We start from the raw sequence: 12,067 nt of genomic DNA, 5'->3' as shown, positions 1-12,067 counted from the left end.
CTTCATGGTGGAAATATAAGATAGTACAGACGGTTTGGAAAATAGTTTGGCAGTTTTCTAAAATGTTAAACTTGCCCCTATCATGTGATCCAGCCATTTCAATCCTATGTATGTACTCAAGAGAAAAGGAATTATTTATCCATACAAAAACTTGCATGTAAAAGCTGATAGCAGCTTTATTTATAATAGTTAAAAACTGGAAACAGCCAAATGTCCATCAACAAGTGAGTGGATAAACAAACTGGTATGTCCTTCAATGAAATACTACTCAGCAATGAAAAGGAATGAACTATTGATAGATGCAATAATGGGGATAAATCTAGAAACTGTTTTGCTGAGCGAAAGGGGCCAGGCAAAAAAGTATTAATACATATTAGATGATTCCATTGTATAAAAGCCTATAAAATAAAAATTAATAGTTATAGAAAGTTATAGAAAGCACATCCATAACTGCTTGGGGTATGAGAGACCAGAATGAACTGGATTGAGGGATTACAAAGAAAAAATGGTTGTGATGGATGTGTTCACTCCGTTGACTGTGTTGATGGTTTTAGCTATGTGTGTGTGTATATATATATATATATATATATATATATATCAAAACAATTGTACAGTTTAAATATTCATAGTGTTTCATATGTCAATTGTACCTCAATAAAACTGTTTTCCAAAAAATGTTATGGTAGGTTTTGTAGGAGAAAGATGTGAAGAGAAAAAAGGGAACAAAATCTGAGAAACAAAGAATTAGACCCAAGAGAAGGAAAGAGAATCCCTTATAGGAGCATGTAGAAACCTAGGTCTTATGGTTAGGTACCACAAGATAGAATGATATTCGTATTCTCTTTTAGAAGGCCTTTATTTATTTTTTTACTGAATAGGTGAAGAACTACTTCAGAATTCCCATTCTTCTATTGATTCTTTTTCTTTCCTCTCATTTTCCAGTCTTGCTGAATAATTTTCTTAAAACATCCACTTCCAACACTGGAGAGGAATGTAATCTTATTTCTAATTGACTATTTCTAATATGACATATTTCTAATCTACTATGACTAATGTAATAGTCAAAGGCAGTGTTTTACCTATTTAGCATAATTGTTTCTAGTTGAAGAGGGTGTTTTATTCCTTGAAGGTCCTAATGGCTCCTATTCTTAATTGAAAAATATGAAGCTTCTTGATAGGGTACAAGGGAATCATTTACCTTACCTTGGTTTATAAGCAGTCTCAGTTTTCTTAGATTAAGAAATAATTATCCAGGTTATTCCTATCAGATTTTCCCTAGCTAGCTTCTTACCATTGAAAATTTTAAATTTACTCAAGAGAAAAATGTATTTTTATATACAAATACAGCAGCATCAATTACAATAGTAAAAACCCTGCAAATTCACTAAATAGCTAACATTAAGAAAATCATTATATACTTGATTAAATGTTATGTATCTCCTAAAATTGATTACTGTGAAGACTACATAGCAACATAGATTAATATGTACAAAACAAAATTAAATGGAAAGAATAGAACATGAAATTCTATATAAGCTACGATTACAACTAGGTAAATATACAAAAGAATACAGTTAAAATTGAACATAGATAAATGAAAATAGCTGCATTAGCATGGTGAATTATGGGTGTTCTCTTTTAAAATTTTTGTCGTTGTTGTTTTAATAACTTTTAAAATAGATTTTAAGTTTTCTGGGGTGGTTTACTACACTCTTAGACTCTTCATCCTATGTGTGAAATTTCTAATGTGTAGGAAAAAGAAAGAATACTGATTGCCACCTTATCTAAAACTTATGTTGACCAAGACTGATAATAAAATGCACTTAGAACCCTATATAAAGGATATTGTGTTTTGATTGCCTAAAAAAGAAACCAACAGCATCTTTTATTTGTTTCTAGAGGTGACTTGGGAAAGATAGGGTAGCGACATCGCTGTGATTTTGTTGTTTCTTTTTAAACTTTAGGTACAAAATTACACTGATGCCCTACAATGGTACTATTATTCTCTGAGGTTTTATTCAACTGATGAAATGGATCTGGACTTCACCAAGCTGCAGAGGAACATGGCTTGCTGTTACCTGAATTTGCAACAACTTGATAAGGTCCTTTGATTTATCTATTTTCAGAGGTAGCAAATGTTCTTATGTGCAGTGGCAGAGAGATAGATGCCATGCTGTGACTTCCTGGCTGTTAGTTTAGGATGTCTGAGAGTTCCCTCATATAGAACAAGGTCAAATTGACATTTTCTTGATTTGCACACTGTAAACATAGAGTGAAACTTCCCAAAGAAAGAGAGAATTTGGAATACCATTAATTCTATTACTTACCCTTTATTTTTCACACCTATTCTGAAAGGTAATATATCATTGGAACTCCTGAACAAAGTTATCTGCTACTAACCATCTGTAATATTGTCCTTTGCAGCAAGCTAAATTTTGAAGTACACACTTTTGTCAAGCATTCATTGAGACCAAATACTTGAATGAAGTGGCCATTCTTTCACTTTCTAGGTTGTTATCTCTTGCCTTTCCAACCACCCTAGAAAATGTTCTTTAACTGATTTCTTATCAGGACAAAATTCTAGAAGGTAAAGAAGATAAAAGCTTGTTTAAAGATAGAACGGAAATACTTTCCAAAGCAATTAGGACATTTCTTCCTTTGGTTATCATATGGTATGCACGTAATGAGGGGTATTGGCTCTTAGAAGGACAAAGAACTAGAAGGACAAGTGTGAACCCAAATGAAATATGAAGGTTTTTGTTGCCTTTCAAGTTTTAATGACAGGTCTAACCTTTGTTCACCTAGGTGATTAAGGGTAATGATTCCAGATGTTTTCTTTGAAGGTTTATTTTTGAAGAGTTGTTTATCTGACTTAAATACTTTAGATTTTCTTTCAAGAAAATATTTGCTATTTAGTTTATATGTTATAAAGTCACAGCCCTGGAAGAGAACTTGAAATGTTACTTAATTCATCATAATGTTGTACAGGCTAGCATTTAACTGTTTCAGAAAATAGTTACCTACAGTTTAAGATCTAAAAGGAAGATGATCATGTAGATTTTGTTACCTAATTCTGCACAGGACAGCACTATTTCAGAAAGGTAGTTGCCTACTGTTTACTTAAAGACTAATAAAGAAGGCAATCACAGAGCCTTTATAACTTCCATGATTTATGACACAGTGAGCTAGGCAGCTTGGGAAGGACCTATATCTGGATGTAGACATGCTAGTTGGGGAATGGATGCATTTGCAGGCCAAGGGAGGATATCTAATCAGCCAGTCAGGAAAGAAAGAAAGAACACAGTACCAGACATTATGCTAGGCTCTGAGGTTACAGAGATGAACAAAGTATAGTTGCCTTCAACTCACTCAAGCAGCTGACATCATGGTATCCTAATGGGCAGATAAGCAGAGCATGGCAATGAGAGAAATCTAAATGTTGGAAATAGTCCGTAAGTCAGGCACACAGGTGGTTGGCATCACATAAACATAACAGCAGGGAACAGGGTTTCAATCACAGATATTTGGACTCTGAGACAGTACACAAATCTTTGAGGAATAGGAGTGTGTGCAGACATACTAGAAAGAGCAAAGTAGATCTCCACAACTAAAGGGGCCAGGATATGAGGCTGTTTTTAAGAGCAGATCCCCTGCATAGGGAGCCAAACTGGGAAGCAATGACCAGAAGAGGAATACAAGTTGACTAGATACAGTTTTCTGAGACTTAAGCAATGCTACTTACATCTCTTCTAATGTCAAGTTTGGTCCTAGAGCCTAGTATAGCACTGACTTTATAATTGGAAATTCAAATGGTATTAATAGTGAGGTTAGGAAGAATAGGAGAACAGTAAACCAGGTGTATTTTAATGGTGCGTACTCAATATGTAACTGTATCATTTATGGCCAGATTAGTGGTGAAACCAAAGGATATTTTGAATATATTCAAGGTAACTTTGTTGGTTACTGTTAGTATATTTCTCCATTTCATCCTTGTCTTGAATTTAGCAGACATTGATTGGATACCCTCCATATACAATGAATATCCTCTTATGCACTAGGACAGACAGAAAGGTGAAAAAAATACACAATCCATCATATTTTAATAATCCCACCTCGCCAGTGTCTAACCTTTGTTAGCTTTCATTGTCTTTCTTCACTCCTTCCTTTGAGTTGCTTGAGCATTGTTGGGAAAATTTATGAAACCATGTTTATTGGGTTTGCTAAAATTTCATGGTTTTTCAGCTAGGTAGTCAATAATACTGACTCTTGTTGAGTTTTTATCACATTCCCCACAGTGATAATTCCAAAACATTTTTTTTCTGTCCTTAAGCACCCATGCTTTCTCCTTTGTTGTAGCAAAAGATCTTATCGTGTGATTTGCTGAGCTTGTAGCCACTGACATGAACTTCATCAATTTCTCACCTCTTCACCCATCCTTTCTTTTCTCTTACCTACGAGAAAGAAGTAACTTTGTCTGGGGACCTTACTCTACAGATCTCAACCCTAGCTGTTTAATCATTCTCTACTGTTTCTTTTTTATTTTTTTTTTTTGAGACAGAGTCTCACTCTTGTTGCCCAGGCTGGAGTGCAATGGTGCTATCTCAGCTCACTGCAACCTCCGCCTCCTGAGCTCAAGCAATTCTCCTGTCTCAGCCTCCTGAGTAGCTGGGATTACAGGCATGGGCCACCACGCCTGGGTAATTTTTTATATTTTTAGTAGAGACAGGGTTTCACCTTTTTGGCCAGGCTGGTCTCGAACTCCTGACCTCATGATCTGCCCGCCTCGGCCTCCCAAAGTGCTGGGATTACAGGCGTGAGCCACCGCGCCCGGCCTACTGTTTCTTTCTCCTGTCACTATAATTACCTTGAAGTCTTCTTTATCCAAAAACCTTCCTTCAACTTTGTAATCCTCCTCAAACTTCAGTTCTGTGTCCTTCTTTTTGTTGCCAAACTTTCTAATCCAATTTTTTAGTGTTCATTCATTCAAAAATATTTATTTATTGTCTCCTATGTGTTAAGTACTGTTCTAGGCATTGGGGATATAGTAATGAACAAAATATATAAAAACCTTTATCCACATGGACAAATACTGCTGTCCCCATTATTTTCCACTAGGAGAGGCAAACAATAAAAAGATAAATAAGTATTATGTTATATTATAGGGGTCAACAAACTTTCTGTAAAGAACCACAGTAAATATTTTAGGTTTTGCAGGCCATACAGTCTGTGCTGAAACTAATCAACTCTGTTGTTGTGCCTTGAAAATAGCCATAGACAGTATGTAATCAAATTGGTGTGGCTGTGTTCCAATAAAACTATGTTTTGGAATACTGAAATTTGAATTTCATGTAATTTTTGTGTGTCATAAAATATGATTCTTTTGATTTATTTCAGGCACTTAAAATGTAAAATTGTTCTAACTTATGAACTGTACAAAAAATATGGTGAGCCAGATTTTGCCCAAAGGCTATAGTTTGTTGACTCCTGGTATATTAAATATTGATAAGTGCTAAGGAGAAAACTAAGCAGGAAAGGGTGATATTAAATGTTTCAGAGGCGGATGAATGGTTGAACTTTTAGATAGGGTGGTCAGGGAAGTCCTCACTGAGAAGATTGTTTTTAAGTAGAGACCTGAGGAAAAAGAGCATTCCAGATGGAGGGAATAACAACTGCAAAGGCCCTAGGGTATTTAAAGAATGGCAAAGAGACCTTTGTGGCTGGAGCTGAGGGAACATTAGGAGAATTAGGAGATGTGATCAGGGAAGTAGTGGTGTCTTAGTCTGTTTCGTGTTGGTATAACAGAATACCTAAGACTGAGTAATTAATAAAGAAAATAGGTTTATTTAAGCTCATGATTCTGCAGGCTGGGAAGTTCAAGGGCCATGGTGCTGGCATTTGCTTGGCTTCTGGTGAGGGCTTTTGTGCTAGATCAAAACATAGCAGAAAGTCAAAGGGAAGTAGACTCATGCCAGGAGACATAATCCAAGGGGCTTTCTGGCTTTATAACAACCTACTTTCATGGAAACTGTTTCTGTTTTATTTCCTTGTATACTATGTTTGTCCTCAACTGGAGTACTTGCTGCTTCCTAGCCATGATCTATGTTTTCTACCTCAGTATCTTTTTTCATGCTTCTTCATTGCAAATTACCTCTTTCCTGCATCCCTAAAATTCCCTTTTCAAAGCCTAGCTTAAAATTCCCTTTTTCAAAGCCTAACTCTTAATGACATTCTTAGCTTCCTGAGGAAATTTCCTTGTCTTGCCTTTCCTCCAAGACTTTGTAACAGTTCTGTTTATCCCTAGATACTTGTTTTCTCATTATATTTTAGTTATTTCTATACCTGCCTTAGTCATCTATTGGACTGTCAGTCACCTCCTTGAGGACAGAGACCATATCTTATCTTTATTTGCCCTTGTACCCAGCATAGTGCCTAATGCATAGTAGATGCTCATTACATTAAAAATAGTTATAAAGACTCAATAAATACCTGTCAATCAACTTCTTCTGATATAGGAATTCCATTTCCTCATGCTATTTCTGTCCTTGCTACTATGCATAATTTGGAAATTAATAGTGATTAAGATCTGTGAGTGCTCTTTGATTATCAGAACTGAATGAGATTATATTATTAAAAATCATCCCACTATAACTTTCTCCAGCTCAGCTCTTTTCTCTTTTGAGGGTGAGAACGCATTTTATTTTGATTTAAAATGAAATATTGAATCATAGGTCAGAAGTTAATTTGGGCAGGCCAATGGAGTTGAGAAATAGACTCCCTTGAACTTTTTAGTAGATTAGGTTACAGATTCATTAGCTCGCACACTTGGCAACCTCTTTTTGAGATAACAATGCCAATTATAGATCATTTCTTTGGTTTGTTTTCTAAATTGTATAAATAAAAATTTTTTAATTGCTATTATCCATTCAGATATCTTCAGTACTTTGCATGAGACAATATTAAACAATGTTGTTTCATAGATATCAACTCTGCCTTTGAGGTGTTTGTAGTGCCTTAAGCCTGGTATCCTGATTTTGCTATATTATTTTTGAGGATTTAAAAATATTTGGTTTGTGCAAGTCATAGGTTTGAATGGATTAAGGATGAAGGAAATGAGCTTGGGTTCTAAATACAGAAGCAGTTTATCACACCTTGATATAATGGGATTTTGCTGCAAACCATAATAAAACCTTAATGTTAGTTGACAGATGGATAATGACTTGTTTTGGTGATAGTCTGTGTAAGTTAATGGGAATGCACAATTGGGTACTCTTTAACTCAGTACAGAAGTCCCATCCTCAGCTTGCAACTGCAGTTTAGGTACATGAATGTCATTAGCACTACTATAGTTTGATAAAACTGAACCACACTCTCAAACCACAGAATGGCTGTAAGACTTACAACAGACACAAAGATGAGACTATTCATAGAATATTTATGTGACCTAAAGTGAAGACAGTTATGTCTCATGTGCTGGTTATATATTGTTTCTCTTTACCATATAAAGTTCGAAAAATGAGCTTGGGACCAGCAGACATAAACTAGTGATATTCACTAGATGGCACTGTGGCCTCTGTACTTCATCAGCTTGTGCTTGACTGATTCTGAGGGTTTTTTTTTTTTTTTTTGTAATTCTTAGGTAGATGTACCTTTCCCACAAATGCATCTATATGGATGCAAAAAAAAAAAACCACTAAAGAAACATAAGATGAAGGTCAGCTGTGACTCATTTGATACAGCTATACTGTAAAAATACCCTGACTGAGATTCCAACTCAACAAATATTAAATGCCTAATCTGTGCCAAGCACTATAGAATAAGTAGAAGACATGATCTATTCTGTAAGTGAGCCTAAAATATTAATGCAGAAACAATATTTACATATATAAAATAATTAGAAAATAATAAAAGGCTGTTCAATCACACATCATTGTGTGGTATGTACCATATGAACTTAGAATAGGAATATATAGATGAGGACGTTTGTGAATATTGATTGAATGTACATATGATGTGAAGCTGAAAAGGGTAACTGATTTGTTAGAAGATAGAGTCAGATCTGAAGGGACCTTAATAGGTTGAAATGATGAGCCTATTCTAGCAAGACGAAGACAAACAGGAAACAACAAAACATCCTATAATTGGATCCCAAAACCAATTGTACAAGAACAAAGTAGATAAAATATGGCTCTAAAAGCAGCATATGTGAGTCACTTGGTACATTTTATTGACTATAAGCACTGCATAAGCCAAAAATACTAAGAAAGTTTACTCAAATTAGGTTGAATCAATAGAGATTTAATGTATAGAAGGAGAAAAAGTGGCAATCACCCTCTATTCTGCTCTGGTTAGAATATATCTGAAGTACAGATTCAATCAAACGCAGACTGAAAATATTCAGAAAAAAGCAATTTAGAAAATAGCAATACAACATAGAAAATAATGCAAATATAAAACAATACAGTGTAACTACTATTTACAGAACATTTACGTTGCATTAGGTGTAAGTAATCTAGAGATTATTTAAAGTATACAAAAGGATGTGTGTAGGTTATATGCAACTACTATAAGGAACTTGAGCATCTGCAGATTGTGATATCCGAGGGTGTCCTGGAACCAATCCTCTAAAGATACGAGGGAACAACTGTATAGACAGCCCTTGACTTACAAGGGTTCGATTTAGGATTTATCAATCTTATGATAGTATGAAAGCAATACTCATTCAATAAGCTCCTCAAGTTACCATGGGGTTATGTCTGGATAAATCCGTCATAGGTTGAAAATGCACTTTCTATTTAGGATATTTTCAGTTTACCATGGGTTTATCAGGATGTAACCCCATCATTAGTTGAGGAGCATCTGTATTGTATTGGATTGAGGGGCACCACTTATAAAGGAGGATATTGACAAACCCAAGTGTGCCAAGAGGAAGGCACTGAGGATGGTGAGAGCACTAAAAATCATCTAATTTGAAGAATAAAGGAAGTGTGGATGTTAAACTTGGGAAATGGAAGATTTACGAGAAACACGATAGCTTTCTTCCAATATTTGAATGGCTGTCAGGGAGTAAAGAAATTAAATTTATTTCATGAGTGTTTCCATGGGTGAGACCTACAAGGAGTGAGATTTTGGATTATCATAAGGAAACCCTTTCTTAATTATTTGACCTACCAAAACAATGAAATGGATTTTCTTAAAATAGAGTGAATTCTGTCTTCTTGAATATATTTAAGTAAAGACTGAATGACTTGGTATAAATGTTATAGAGGAGATTCAAGCATCAGAAGAATTTTTTGACTAAGAGAACTTTGAGGTATCTTCTGCCCACATTTTTCTGAAATATCAGTATAACCTGATAAAATGTATTATAGTCAAAGAGGATTTTGTGGGGGACTAGGCTCATTAATCACTGAATTTGAAAACTAAAGGAACCCTTGCAAGTCATTACTAATTTATTTTAAAATGAATTTATAAAAATATAATTTACATACAAAAATGCATTCATTTTAGGTATAGTTCAATAATTTTGACAACTTTATACCCCAAATTTACCCACTACCATGGTCTAGATATAGAAGACTTCCATTATCCTGAGAGATTTCCTTGTGTTCCTTCCCAGTCAATCCTCACCTCCACTCCCAGCCCCAGGCAATGACTGGTATGCTTTCTATCACTATAGGTTAGATTTATCTTTCCTAGAGTTTCATATAAATGGAATTACACGGTATGTACTTTACCTTTTTTTTAAATCTGGCTTCTTTCACTCAATTTTAGAATTTTAGAGAATCTCTTCTGGCTTGTAGAGTTTCTGCCGAGAGATCAGCTGTTAGTCTGATGGGCTTCCCTTTGTGGGTAACCCGACCTTTCTCTCTGGCTGCACTTAACATTTTTTCCTTCATTTCAACTTTGGTGAATCTGACAATTATGTGTCTTGGAGTTGCTCTTCTCGAGGAGTATCTTTGTGGCATTCTCTGTATTTCCTGAATCTGAATGTTGGCCTGCCTTGCTAGATTGGGGAAGTTCTCCTGGATAATATCCTGCAGAGTGTTTTCCAATTTGGTTGCATTCTCCCCGTCACTTTCAGGTACACCAATCAGACATAGATTTGGTCTTTTCACATAGTCCCATATTTCTTGGAGGCTTTTTTCATTTCTTTTTATTCTTTTTTCTCTAAACTTCTCTTCTCGCTTCATTTCATTCATTTGATCTTCCATCGCTGATACCCTTTCTTCCAGTTGATCGAATCGGCTACTGAGGCTTGTGCATTCTCCACGTAGTTCTCGTACCATGGTTTTCAGCTCCATCAGGTCCTTGAAGGACTTCTCTGCATTGGTTATTCTAGTTAGCCATTTGTCTAATCTTTTTTCAAGGTTTTTTACTTATTTGCCATGGGTTTGAATGTCCTCCTTTAGCTCGGAGTAGTTTGATCGTCTGAAGCCTTCTCTCAACTCGTCAAAGTCATTCTCTATCCAGCTTTGTTCCGTTGCTGATGAGGAGCTGCATTCCTTTGGAGGAGGAGAGGCAATCTGATTTTTAGAATTTTCAGTTTTTCTGCTCTGTTTTTTCCCCATCTTTGTGGTTTTATCTACCTTTGGTCTTTGATGATGGTAATGTACAGATGAGGTTTTGGTGTGGATGTCCTTTCTGTTTGTTAGTTTTCCTTCTAACAGACAGGACCCTCAGCTGCAGGTCTGCTGGAGTTTGCTGGAGGTCCACTCCAGACCCTGTTTGCCTGGGTATCAGAGCGGAGGCTGCAGAACAGTGGATATCAGGCAAATGTTGCTGCCTGATCATTCCTCTGGAAGTTTTGTCTCAGAGGAGTACCCGGCTGTGTGAGGTGTCAGTCTGCCCCTACTGGGGGGTGCCTCCCAGTTAGGCTACTTGGGGGTCAGGGACCCACTTCAGGAGGCAGTCTGTCTATTCTCAGATCTCCAGCTGCATGCTAGGAGAACCACTACTCTCTTCCAAGCTGTCAGACAGGGACAGTTAAGTCTGCAGAGGTTTCTGCTGCCTTTTGTTTGGCTATGCCCTGCCCCCAGAGGTGGAGTCTACAGAGGCAGGCAGGCCTCCTTGAGCTGCGGTGGGCTCCACCCAGTTCGAGCTTCCGGGCTGCTTTGTTTACCTACTCAAGCCTGGGCAATGGCGGGCGCCCCTCCCCCAGCTTTGCTGCCGCCTTGCAGTTTGATCTCAGACTGCTGTGCTAGCAATGAGCGAGGCTCTGTGGGCGTAGGACCCTCTGAGCCAGGCGTGGGATACAGTCTCCTGGTGTGCCGTTTGCTAAGACCCTTGGAAAAGTGCAGTATTATGGTGGGAGTGACCTGATTTTCCAAGTGCCGTCTGTCACCCCTTTCCTTGGCTAGGAAAGGGAATTCCCTGACCCCCTTGCACTTCCCGGGTGAGGCAATGCCTCGCCCTGCTTCAGCTCACGCTCGGTGTGCTGCACCCACTGTCCTGCACCCACTGTCCAACAATCCTCAGTGAGATGCACCCAGTACCTCAGTTGGAAATGCAGAAATCATTTGTCTTCTGTGTCGCTCACACTGGGAGCTGTAGACTGGAGCTGTTTCTATTCGGCCATCTTGGTTCCATCCCTAATTTTTGTATTTTTAATAGAGACGGGATTTCACCAAGTTGGCCAGGCTGGTCTTGAACTCCTGACCTCAGGTGATCCACCCACCTTGACCTCCCAAAGTGTTGGGATTACAGGCGTGAGCCACCTCGCCCAGCCTTTTATTGCTATTTTAGAGTATATAAAACAAAATTATAAAACAAAATTAACTGTAAAACAGCCTCAGACAGGTCCTTCAGGAAGTATTCCAGAAGAAGGCATTATCATAGTAAGTGACAGCTCCATGCATGTTATTGCCCCTGAGGACTTTCCAGTGGGACAAGATGTGGAGGTGGAAGACAGTGATACTGATGATCCCGAGCCTGTGTAGGTCTAGGCTAATGTGTTTGCTCATGTCTTAGTTTTTAACAAAAAGTTTGAAAAGTCAAAAAAGATTTTAAAGTGTTAAAAATCAAAAATCTTGTAGAATAAGGATATAAAAAGGAAATTTTTGTACAACTG

The 12,067-nt window shown here is 37.2% G+C and overlaps 1 protein-coding gene across 7 annotated transcripts in view; it reads left to right on the top strand.

Moving 5' to 3' along the window:
* Positions 1 to 12,067, top strand: part of TEX11 (testis expressed 11) — a 397,485-nt gene that overhangs the window by 236,233 nt on the left and 149,185 nt on the right. For all 7 annotated transcript variants that reach the window (XM_017029649.1, XM_017029650.1, XM_017029651.2 and 4 more), the window contains one exon: positions 1,965 to 2,102. In XM_017029649.1, the coding sequence (XP_016885138.1) occupies positions 1,965 to 2,102 (138 nt within the window). The remainder of the gene's footprint in view (positions 1 to 1,964; positions 2,103 to 12,067) is intronic.

This window comes from Homo sapiens, chromosome X, assembly GCF_000001405.40.
Source record: "Homo sapiens chromosome X, GRCh38.p14 Primary Assembly".
NCBI lineage: Eukaryota > Metazoa > Chordata > Mammalia > Primates > Hominidae > Homo > Homo sapiens.
This window is presented reverse-complemented; position numbering and strand designations above follow the sequence as displayed.